A 13132-nucleotide genomic window follows, 5' to 3' on the forward strand; every position below is an offset into this window, starting at 1 on the left:
CATTTTCTTTTTTTTTTTTTTTTTTTTTGAGATGGAGTCTCACTCTGCCACCCAGGCTGGAGTGCAGTGGTGTGATCTCAGCTTACTGCATCCTCCCCCTCCTGGGTTCAAGGATTCTTCTGCCTCAGCCTCCTGAGTAGCTGGGACTTACAGGTGTGTGCCACCACGTCCGGCCAATTTTTATATTTTTAGTAGAGACAGTTTTGCCATGTTGGCCAGGCTAGTCTTGAACTCCTGACCTCGGGAACTATCCGCCTCAGCCTCCCAAACTTCTGGGATTACCAGTGAGAGCCACTGCATCCAGCCACATTTTCAATTAAAAATAAAAGCTACAATTTGTACTTTGAACTGTGATATTATTTCTGACAACATACTTCAAAGCAGACTGAATATATTTAAAATTAATGATTGATTTTCAAATTATTGTGTTTTGGTAGAATGCATCAGAGGTCAAAATAGCGGAAGAAAATGGAGCTGCATTTGCAGGAGGCACTAGTCTGATACAGAAGGTACAGTGTTGTTTTCATGTTCATTAAGTATAGAGATGATTCTGTTATCTTTACCATTCATTGATCTGTTATATGTGGAACACTAGTCTCATATCTTATGATAAATAGTTAATAGGTCTTTATAAGAGCAGGAAAAAAATTTCCAACTTTCTTCAGTTTCAAAATCAAGCTAGGAGAAAACTATCCAGACAGTCTGATTTTGTGTGTTTGTGTTTATTTGGGGTGTGTGTGTGTGTGTGTTTGTCTGTGTTTGAGACAAGGTCTCTCTCTGTTGTCCAGACTAGAAGATGGTGGTGCAATTATGGCTCACTGCAGCCTTGAACTCCTGAGCTCAAGCAATCCTCCTGCCTCAGCCTTCTGAGTAGCTGGGACTAAAGGTGCATGCCACTGCACTCGGCTAATTTTTTTGTAGAGATAGGGTTCTTGTTTGTTGCCCAGGCTGGTCTTGAACTCTTGGCATCAAGCAATCCTCCTGCCTTGGCCTCCCAAAGTACTGGGGTTACAGGTGTGAGCCACCACACCCAACCTCAGACAGTCTGATATTGATTATACTTGAATTATTATTGTGATTATTATTATTATTACTATTTTTCGCTTCTTTTTTGTCTGAGAGTTTTGTGGATAGATAGGAAAGGGCAGTGTGACTCTGGTTTTGAATGTAAGGTTTAAAATGAAATCCACAAGGTCGCATGGATTTCATTGATACCCATGGACACCTCTATTCATGTTTTGAAGATCAAATATTTGTTTTTTTTCTTGGAGTGAAGGTGTAATTCACTTAGTAGATTATAAAGTATGGTATCTGCCCTCTATAATGTTGGTGCTTTTGGTTCCTCTTAACTTTTAGCTTCTAATCCTTTCAGAATGGCATAGACTCAGTATGGTAGCAACAAGTGATTATGTAGCCTGCCTTTAGAAGGTAACAGAGCTTCGCTGGACGCAGTGGCTCATGCCTGTAATCTCAGCACTTTGGGAGGCTGAGGTGGGCAGATCACTTGAGGCCAGGAGTTTGGGACCAGCCTGGCCAACACGGTGAATCCCCACCTCTACTAAAAATACAAAAATTAGCCAGGCGTGGTGGCACATGCCTGTAATCCTAGCTACTTGGGAGGCTGAGGCACAAGAATCTCTTGAACCCAGGAGGCGGAGTTTGCAGTGAGCCGAGATTGCGCCTACACTCCAGCCTAGGCAACAGAGCGAGACTCTGTCTCCAAAAAAATAAATAAATAAAATAAATAAACAAACAAATAAATAAGAAAATAACAGAGCTTGGAGAGCCTCTTTGAAAATGAGAACTTTTTTTTTCCTTTTTAGGAAGTAGGAAGAAGAGGCATGGAGTTATTTCTGAAAATATAAAAGATTTTTCTTAGGGTTCTCTCTAAAAGTTCCTCCTCTAGATAAAATCCTTTATTATAAAGTTATGGAATTTTTTTTATTATACTTTAAGTTCTAGGGTAGATGTGCACAGCATGCAGGTTTGTTACGTATGTATATATGTACCATGTTGGTGTGCTGCACCCATTAACTCGTCATTTACATTAGGTATATCTCCTAATGCTATCCCTCCCCCGTCCCCTACTCCAAGACAGGGCCCGGTGTGTGATGTTCCCCACCCTGTCAATTCAACAAGAAGAGCTAACTATCCTAAATATATATGCACCCAATACAGGGGCACCCAGATTCATAAAGCAAGTCCTTAGAGACCTAGAAAGAGACTTAGACTCCCACACAATAATAATGAGAGACTTTAACACCACACTGTCAACATTAGACACATCAACGAGACAGAAAGTTAACAAGGATATCCAGGAATTGAACTCAGCTCTGCACCAAGCAGACCTAATAGACATCTACAGAACTCTCCACCCCAAATCAACAGAATATGCGTTCTTCTCAGCACCACATTGCACTTATTCCAAAATTGACCACATAGTTGGAAGTAAAGCACTCCTCAGCAAATGTAAAAGAACAGAAATTATAACAAACTGTCTCTCAGACCACAGTGCAGTGAGACTAGAACTCAGGATTAAGACACTCACTCAAAACCGCTCAACTACATGGAAACTGAACAACCTGCTCCTGAATGACTACTGGGTACATAACGAAATGAAGGCAGAAATAAAGATGTTCTTTGAAACCAATGAGAAAAAAGACACAACATACCAGAATCTCTGGGACACATTTGAAGCAGTGTGTAGAGAGAAATTTATAGCACTAAATGCCCACAAGAGAAAGCAGGAAAGATCTAAAATTGGCACCCTAACATCACAATTAAAAGAACTAGAGAAGCAAGAGCAAACTAATTCAAAAGCTAGCAGAAAGCAAGAAATAACTAAGATCAGAACAGAACTGAAGGAGATAGAGATACAAAAAACCCTTCAAAAAATCAATGAATCCATTAGCTGGTTTTTTGAAGAGATCAACAAAATTGATAGATCGCTAACAAGACTAATACACAAGAAAAGAGAAGAATCAAATAGACACAATAAAAAATGATAAAGGGGATATCACCACCGATCCCACAGAAATACAAACTACCATCAGAGAATACTATAAATACCTCTACGCAAATAAACTAGAAAATCTAGAAGAAATGGATAAATTCCTGGACATATACACCCTCCCAAGACTAAACCAGGAAGAAGTTGAATCCCTGAATAGACCAATAACAGGCTCTGAAATTGAGGCAATAATTAATAGCCTATCAACCAAAAAAAGTCCAGGACCAGATGGATTCACAGCCAGATTCTACCAGAGGTACAAAGAGGAGCTGGTACCATTCCTTCTGAAACTATTCCAATCAATAGAAAAAGAGGGAATCCTCCCTAATTCATTTTATGAGGCCAGCATCATCCTGATACCAAAGCCTGGCAGAGACACGACAAAAAAAGAGAATTTTAGACCAATATCCCTGATGAACATCGATGCAAAAATCCTCAGTAAAATACTGGCAACCCAAATCCAGCAGCACATCAAAAAGCTAAAGCTTATCCACCACGATCAAGTGGGCTTCATCCCTGGGATGCAAGGCTGGTTCAACATATGCAAATCAATAAATGTAATCCATCATATAAACAGAACCAAAGACAAAAACCACATGATTATCTCAATAGATGCAGAAAAGACCTTCGACAAAATTCAACAGCCCTTCATGCTAAAAACTCTCAATAAACTAGGTATTGATGGGACATATCTCAAAACAATAAGAGCTATTTATGACAAACCCACAGCCAATATCATACTGAATGGGCAAAAACTGGAAGCATTCCCTTTGAAAACTGGCACAAGACAGGGATGCCCTCTCTCACTCCTATTCAACATAGTGTTGGAAGTTCTGGCCAGGGCAATCAGGCAAGAGAAAGAAATAAAGGATATTCAATTAGGAAAAGAGGAAGTCAAATTGTCTCTGTTTGCAGATGACACGATTGTATATTTAGAAAACCCCATCGTCTCAGCCCCAAATCTCCTTAAGCTGATAAGCAACTTCAGCAAAGTCTCAGGATACAAAATCAATGTGCAAAAATCACAAGCATTTCTATATGTTATGGAATTTTTGCCGGGGAGGAGAAAGTAGACAGGAAATAGTGATTTGAAAATTTATCCTTTGTCCCATATTCAAATTTTCATTTGGGGAACTTTTAACTGGGCTCATCCTTTGAGGTAAACAGCAGTGCTCATAGTTTGTTTTTTTCCCACCCCTAAAAGTACTCTAAATTTGGTGAGGATTCTGGATTTTAAATAAAGAGGGTCTTCAGAATGATTTTTGGTTGCAGAACTAGTGGAAAGTAGGAAGAGTATGCTTTAATACAGGTTCTAGGCCAGAGTCAGTGGGACTCAGTTCTTTCTGTTGTATTATTAATTTTAATTAAAAAATTATTAAAACTTTTAATTATTAAAAAATAATCATCACAAATGTTTGGTAATTTGAGAATAGAGCTGGGTCTCTAGAATCAGAGAACTAATCTTGAGTTTGTATACAGCTTTCTATTTTCTTCTTGCAACCACTAAAGTTACCTTGTAGAACTGTCATAGCCACTCCTTTGGTTCAGTTTTTTTTGTTTTTTTTTTTTTTCATTTTTTTTGAGACAGTGTGTCGTTGCATCACCCAGGCTGGAGTGCAGTGACGTGATCTCGGCTCACTGCAACCTCTGCCTCCTGAGTTCAAGTGATTCTCCTGCCTCAGCCTCCCTAGTAGCTGGGATTACAGGCGCCTGCCACTGTGCCCAGCTAATTTTTGTATTTTTAGTAGAGATGGGGTTTTGCCACATTGGCCAGACTGGTCTCGAACTCCTGGCTTCAAGTGATCTGCCCGCCTTGGCCTCCCAAAATGTTGGGATTATAGGCGTGAGCCACTGCTCCCAGCCAAGACACCACACCTGGCCTTTGGTTCTTAAATGTTAAGCAAGAAGTTACCTCTCAAGAAAGAAATGGTAATAGAGCAGAAAGTGTTATGAAGCTGTAAGTTCACTAAATGAAACACATTTTTTAAAGTAACCCAAATAAGGAAGCCAAAGACATTTTAAAATTCTGTAGTATAGAAAATATTAACAGGTACAGAATTTCTCTTTAGGGCCCCAGTAGAGGATCTGTTATTAGAGGGAGCATGCCATCTGTGTAAGGCATCATAGGATAAGTTTGCAAGTTACCCCGTGGTGTCTTTTTAAAGCTAGTCCATGTTATTTTTAGAAGGTATTCAGGTTATGAGGTAAATTCAATACAGTTTAGTAAATAATATTATGGCTGCAATTTTTTATACATTCCTGTGTTTTTAAATTAGTTTATCATTTTGCTTAGCTCTATAAAATGCCAAGTAGGATAAATTTATGTAGTCATTTCTTTTTTTTTTTTTCTCTTTTTGAGATGGAGTTTCGCTCTTGTTGCCCAGTGGGGAGTGCAATGGCGCAATCTCGGCTCACTGCAACCTCCACCTCCCGGGTTCAAGCAATTCTCCTGAATCTGCCTCCCGAGTAGCTGGGATTACAGGCACCTGCCACCACGCCCAGCTAATTTTTTTTATTTTTAGTAGAGATGGGGTTTCACCGTGTTGGCCAGGCTGGTCTTGAACTCCTGACCTCAGGCGATCCAACCTTCCTCGGCCTCCCAAAGTGCTGAGATTACAGGTGTGAGCCACCGCACCACGTAGTAATTTCTTAGATAACACATTCATTTATTAAATTTATTTTACTTTATTTTGAAACATCACAGATATGCCTGGTTCTGAGTGATTTTAAAGTAACTTCATATTTTTACTTGTCTCTAAGAGCTTGATTTCCATCCACAGTTTTTTATTATTCCAAGATACAGTCCTACTTATAGCATAACTTCCAAACATAATTTTAATTTAAAGGAACATGTCATAGAATTAGGATTGGAAAATCTTGAAATAGAAATCTCACATACAGTTCTTTGACATTTAGAAATTGCCTCTGCTTTCCTATTTCCAGTGATGAGACCCCTGGTTCTGGACCCACACTGCCTGTTTTTCAATTCTAGCTCTGCCTCTTAGGTGTGTACAGACTGACTCATCCTCCCTGATCCCTCAGTTTTTTTTATCTGGAATGTGTGGTCAATACTGGTACCTGTCTCAAGGTTTGTTATGAAGACTGGATGTTCTAAATTATATTAAATATTTAGCAGAATGCTTGGCACATGAGAAGTGCCCATTTAATGTAAGTTGTTGTTAAGGAGAGGTATGTTATTTAAGGACTAAAAATTTGTGCAAAGAATAGTAACAGAAGGATAAAATTCCATAGTCATTGCTTAATTTTGTCAGAATTCAAGTTTTTAATTCACCGTGTACCCCTAAATCAAGGCTTTGAATGGCATATTGTAAGATTTCATACAAAGGGAATCATTGGTAAAATATTTCTTGCTTGGGCAGTGGCACGATCTTGGCTTACTGCAACCTCTGCCTTCCTGGCTTCAAGCAATCCTCCCACCTCAGCCTCCCGGTTACCTGGGACTACAGATGTGTGCCACCACGCCCGGCTAGTTTTTATATTTTTTGTAGAGACAGGATTTTGCCTTGTTGCCCAGGCTAATTTCAAACTCCTGAGCTCAATTGATTTGCCTGCCTTGGCCTCCCAAAGTGCTGGGATTACAGGTGTGGAGTTTAAGTGGAGTATATTGTATGTTTTAAGTAGAGTATATTAAGTAGAGTTTAAGTGGAGTATATTGTAGTAGTATAATAGTTATTTTAGGTGCTTGCCTGAATTAATAAAAATGTTTTCTAAAAATTGAATATTAATTCCTTTGTTCTGAGAATGGATATAGAGTATGGATAATAAACTATAAGTGAACTTGTCTTTGATCACCACGTCTTCTTTTATTCTTAGTTATCGGTGGTAAGGAAAATTTCAGTTTCAGTTCTTTGTGAAAGTAATTATAAATTCAATTCTCTGATGCTCTAAATTTAGGAAGCTAGTGGTTGCTAGTGAGTTTGGCAGTTAGTGGTTATTAATTTTACATGTGATCTGTTGCAAAAGTTTCAGCTTTTGTAGGTTCCTTCAGTTTTAATAAATATATGAATTTAACTTTGTGGGATTCTGTAAGCCATGCACACATTCATTGCTGTGTTGTGACTTGTAACACTTTTGCCTAACACAACCCAAAGGAAGAAACCATTAATTTTTTTTTTTAAGGATGTGGCTGTTTTTAAAGGAAAATGTTTTACTTCTGATGGTTTTTATAATTGACAGGTGTATTTGTATGATCTTTGTGTTTGAAGAAAAGAATTGTGCTTAATGTCTGTTTTCTGAATTATAAAGGAAATGACTACATTGTACTTTTTCAGAACGATAAAGCTTTTCATCTCATCTGAGGTCACCTTTTTTTTTTTAATTTTCAGATTTGGGATGATGAAATTGTTGCAGACTTTTACGTAGCTGTTCCAGAAATAATGCCTGAACTTAATCGATTAAGGAAGAAACTGAATAAAAAATATCCAAAGCTTTCTCGAAGTAAGAGAATTCCTATTATTTCAATATCCTGTCAACAACTTTCTTGTGAACTTTGCTTAGTTAGGAAACAAAGTTGTTCATGTATGCGTAGAATAAATAGTATGTCCTGGTATTTGAGTTTGAGTTACGAGAACCTACGGGTTTGATTTTTTTCCCCCGCTTTGGCATTAATACTGGTAATCTAATATGATTTGAAAACCTAGTTACTTTATAATACCAGTTTTTAAAATGTAGATCAAAGTCTAGCTCCCAATTAGTGGAATGTATTATTTACTCAGTATATTATCATCATACTGTTTTATTGGCTTTTATCCCTGTTTATCAATATAATATGTATGCCCATTTATTTAAAAGTGTTCAACATATGTATGAATGTTGACCATATGCATGGCTCTGAAGGTAATTTCTCTTAAGAAATTTTCCCCTTATGGATATTTTCTCCTTAAGAAATCTAATAAGAAAGTTAAGGTCACTAAATAAGGAACTGTGTTATAAAGTGTGAGGTATTATATAATAAATTAAAAAAGTGCTAGGGGTGTTCAGTGGAGGTGGAGTTTACACATAGGTGAGGAATCAGGGAAGGCATCATAAAAGAGGTAACATTTAAACATAAAGGAGGTAACATTAGTTGGATGAATTGATTGAGGAGAATATTTTAAGTAGAAGGAATGTATTAATCATAGACACCAAAGTAAGTCAGAAATCATAGGCCAGGTACAAGAAATATTAATTAGCTCTCTTTGACTGTGGGGAGTGGTACCCCTACATTGAAATAGAAGAGAATAATGGGAAATGATGTTGGAAAGGTAGATTGATGCCGTATTGAGAAGAACTTTGAATGATGGGCTAATGAGCATGAACATCTGCATTCTATATTCAGCAGGACTCAGAAGTTTTTGAGATGGGAGTGACATAATCTGTTCTTTAGAGCTTTAATCTGGCAAGAGGTTTTTAAGATAATTGAAACTAGAGACAGGGAAACCAGTTCAGGTACAATGGCAAGAGACTAATAAATGTAATGTTTAAGCTAAGGTCTTCATAACGAGACTGGAGTGAAATGTATAAATGTCAAGGATATTAGGACTTAGCAATTAATTGGGAATGGAGAGGTTGAGGGGGAGAAAAGGAAGAGTCAAATGATACTGAGGTTTTTTAAGTCTAGAGAACTCTCCTAATAAGTGTTATCATTAATGGAAACAGGGAGTACAATTGGGAGGAAAAACAAGTTCACTTGCTGACACAGTTTGTTTTAGATAGTGCTGGATGTCTGGTATATTATTATTTCAAATAAAATTTTGTAGTGTAAACAGAACAAATATTTTAAAATTGTGTTAGTAGATTTGTCTTCAAATTTTAACTCTAGTTGAGCTAAAAAAATTCTGCTAAAATTTTTATATATCCTAGCCACTAACAACTTGTCTGAATTCTAGATCATGACCTGTAAATTAAATTCAAATGGACTTTCCAGTTCTTTTGTTGTGTTAGAGTTTTGTTTATTTTTGATAGCATGCATTAAGTCATAAATATTTATTAGATTTTGAACTGGTGTCTGGCACTTTTTATTAGGGATTTCCCTTACAGCAGTGTTCATTATGGAGTCCAGTTTATATTCTTTCTTAAGTAAGACCTAAAACTGAACATATTTTAAAAATTAAACCAGAATTGCAGTTGAATTTGATGAAAATATTTCTCATAACTTTTTTGTTCTTAATTAAATTCAAGCTCAAATCAGAGCAAAACAAACAGTACTAAATACAGTAAAAACCAAAAATGAATACTAATATGTTTGTATTCTAGATATCTAGCTCCTTGCTTTGCATGGTGATCTGATTTTTAAAAGACATTAATTTTGTCACCTTTGCTACTTTATCCATTCTCTCTGTAACCCTTTTAGCTTCCTTTTTTTTTTTTTTTAGCCTTGAGGGTTTTTTTTTTCTCATTGGCATCTCAATATTTGGAACCTTTTTTAGTTTTCAAATACCTTATTTCTTTATTCCAAATAATAATTTTCCTAATAAAATGTTTATTAGTGAGCTTTACTTTATTTCTCCTTTCATAATGAATTGCAACTTCACATATCATGGTCAAGTACCTAAGTATGTTTTTCCCCCCTATTTGCGTAGGCACCTTGAGTGAAGAGATGGACCTTTTCCCTTCTCTGACACCTTCTTTTCACCCCAACATGATCTATTTAATGGCACTGGTAAAACATTTGTGTTCTTTAAACATGAAAACAAACAACCTGTCAAAAATGTTAAATGGAATACATCAGATGTGCATTAGAACAAATGAAGCTTCTATTATGCATTTTCAAAGCTCATTCAGATTCTTGTTTAAGAACATTTGATTCCCCCTATATCCAACAAAAGTCTTTAGTGTAAAATAGAAATTACATTTTGAGCAAGTGGAGAAAATTAAAAAACAAGCTCCTGCAGCTGAGCTCATTAGTTTCCCATTTCCAGTTTTACTAATGGGAGTGGGCGTGTGTACATTTTGCAGCTTGTTTAATGCTGCAGTTTTATTCGTTTTATTTTAATTGCTTACATAACTGTAGGCAAGTTCTTTGTTTTTCAAATGCACATTTGGCTTGTTTTCTCAATATTTTTTGTTTTATTAAAAAAAATTAAAACCTGTTTTTTTAAATTCCTTCTAAGAAATTTGGTTTTATTTTGCTTATCGTCTGGCTTCCTCCCCAATATAAGTACCCTCTGTAATTCTTTCATCTCTAATATAGATATGTTTTGTTAATTAAAACTTTTTTATTTCTAATCCTATTTATAAATTAGCATTTAGAAACTAAAAACACTAGCGTGAAATATATCTTTTTTTTTTATGAGTCAGAGTTTCCCTCTGTCGCCCAGGCTGGAGTGCAGGGGTGCAGTCTCGGCTCACTGCAACCTCCGCCTCCTGGGTTCAAGTGAATCTGCCTCAGCCTCCCAAGTAGCTGCGATTACAGGAGCATGCCACCACACCCAGCTAGTATTTTGTATTTTTAGTAGACACATGTTGGCCAGGCTGGTCTCGAACTTCTGACCTCAGGTAATCTGCCTGCTTCAGCCTCCTAAAGTGCTTGGCCTCCCAAAGTGCTGGGATTACAGGCGTGAACCACTGTGCCCAGCCAAAAAAAAATCTTGACTTAATGGTATCAGATGTTTATTATGCATATTAACCTGTGATAGGTACTGTGGCATATATGGGAACAGTTGAATTCTTTTATACCATACTAAGTTATTGTCAGGTAAGAAAGGGACATGATTAGAAAATTAGAATTACACTAATGTGTATTCCTCTTAACTTCTAACTCTTAGAATTGAACACTAGTGCTCCACTCGATGTCTTGTCCAAACGATATCCCAGCAGACTTGTCCAAAAGATATCCACATATGAGCAGGACACTGCTTTCCGTGAGGAATTTGGTGTTGTATCATACGTGAGACTCATGGATATTAAAGTTCTTGTAATGTGTAGCATTTTTAACTCATAGAATAGTACCTTGTACTTCAGGGTTTTGTTTGCATTATTGGAACAATCAGAAGTTTTGGTTATATAAGGGAAAATAACCAAAACGGAGAATTTTTGCAAGGTAATGAATTTGAAATTTTTCTAAATTTCTGCCCCTTCACATATTAGTTTAAAAACTATCCATGTATGAAAGACTCCATTAATGATTAGGTACTGTTACAATTGTTGTAGATGAAATATGGATCTATTATAGCTGGTTCTGTTATGCTTTCCTTTGCTTCCTTTACTTCAGCCTTGGCAGCCTCCTTGATCTTCCTCATACACACTAAGCACTCTCCCTCCTCAGGTCTTTGGATTTACTGTTGCATAGGTCTGTAGTAGTACTGTTTGCTTACTTGCCTTGCTCACTTTCTCATTCGAACATCATCTAAACAGAGAGACCTTCCATGACCATCCTATATAAAATATTACTACCACTTCCTATTATCACTAAATATCATTATTATGCTTTTGTATTCATTTTAGGACATATCACTCTTAGCATCTTTTTTTTGTGTGTGTGTGTGTGATGTGTGTTCAGTGCCTCTCATTAGAGCAAAGATGGTTTTGTTTTGTCCATTGCTACATTCCCATTGCCTAGAGTATAGTACCTGGAAAATAGTACGTACTCTACAAATATTTGAATGAATGAATGAATGAATGAATGAATGAATGTTTAATCCAGCACTCATTCAGTTGGTAGAAGATATAAAATTAAACTGTAACTTAAAAATGGAGTATACAATTTTTTTTTTTTTGAGACGGAGTTTTGCTCTGTTGCCCAGGCTGGAGCGCAGTGGCACATCTCGGCTCACTGCAACCTCCCCTTCCCGGGTTCATACAATTCTCCTGCCTCAGCCTCCTGAGTAGCTGAGATTACAGGTGTGCGCCACCATGCCCAGGTAATTTTTTTTGTATTTTTAGTAGAGATGGGGTTTCACCATGTTGGCCAGGCTGGTCTCAAACTCCTGACCTCAAATGATCCACATCCCTCAGCTTCCCAAAGTGCTGGGATTACATGCGTGAGCCACCGCACCCAGCTTGGACTATATACAATTTATAGTTTTTTTTTTATCAGAATAATTGTATTTATAGTAGTTGAGTATCTACTATGTGCCAAGCCTTGGGTGTGATAGCAGTGAACAAGACAGACAAAGTTCTTGCGGTCATAGAACTAACAGTTTTGTTTTCTGCAGTAGAGAAACTAGTTTAACTTTTTACAGTTACTTATGCACAGATTTTTTTTTTTTTTTTTTTTTTGAGACAGAGTCTCGTTCTGTCACCCAGGCTGGAGTGCAGAGACATGATCTTGTCTCACTGCAACCTCTGCCTCCTGGGTTCAGGTGATTCTCTTGCCTCAGCCACCAGAATAGCTGGGACTACAGGCATGTGCTGCCACGCCTGGCTCATTTTTTTTTTTTTTTTTTGTATTTTCAGTAGAGACGGGGTTTTGCCATGTTGGCCAGGCTGGTCTTGAACTCATGAGCTCAAGTGATCTACCTGCTGCAGTCTCCCAAAGTGCTGGGATTACAGGCATGTGCAACCATGCCTGGCCATTTATGCTCAGATTTCTTTAAACAAACAAAAAGCAAATCACGAGCCCCCCCGCACCTTCATTTGATTCAACTATCCTTTCCAGCTGCGATCTTAGTTTTTTATGTGTTTTATGTTAAGTTTTTCAAATAATGGTCTTCAGCAATTGGCTTCATTTTCTTACTAAGCATTAGTATTCCTTACAGCTTTTTCTTCCATAATTTAGCTAAAATATTGCTCTCTCAGTTATCACAGGTTTTTCTTTTGCCATATTCAAAGGTCTGTTCTTAGTTTTCTCTGTTTCTTGCAACTTCTTTCAGGAGGTAATGTATGCAGTCCTAACTCACCTCTTTTCTAACTATTTCTTCTTTGTTTTCCTTGATTAAAAAAAGAAAAGAGAAGGTATTTTAGGAGGAAATACTTGATCGTATAGTATAGGTTATGTTCATTATGGAAATTGAATAGAGAATTAAAGGAAAAGAAAGTGAAAGGAAGAAAGAAAATGAAGAAAGAAGAGCCTAAAAACACAGAGAAAAGTGAAAGTGGAGAAAGAGGAAAGCAGTTAAATAGCAGTAAGGGATAGCAAAGCCCTAGAAATAGCAGTGATGATTTAACATTTGCCTGTATTGA

General features: G+C 37.0%; 1 protein-coding gene across 3 annotated transcripts in view; it reads left to right on the forward strand.

Annotated features, from left to right (window-relative positions):
* MRPL1 (mitochondrial ribosomal protein L1) overlaps window positions 1-13132 on the forward strand; it is an 89956-nt gene that overhangs the window by 23953 nt on the left and 52871 nt on the right. For all 3 annotated transcript variants that reach the window (XM_047416089.1, NM_020236.4, XM_047416090.1), the window contains exons 5-6: window positions 438-509; window positions 7357-7468. In XM_047416089.1, coding sequence (XP_047272045.1) covers window positions 438-509; window positions 7357-7468 — 184 coding nt within the window. The remainder of the gene's footprint in view (window positions 1-437; window positions 510-7356; window positions 7469-13132) is intronic.

The sequence above is a fragment of the Homo sapiens genome, chromosome 4 (genome assembly GCF_000001405.40).
Source record: "Homo sapiens chromosome 4, GRCh38.p14 Primary Assembly".
Taxonomy (NCBI): Eukaryota; Metazoa; Chordata; class Mammalia; order Primates; family Hominidae; genus Homo; species Homo sapiens.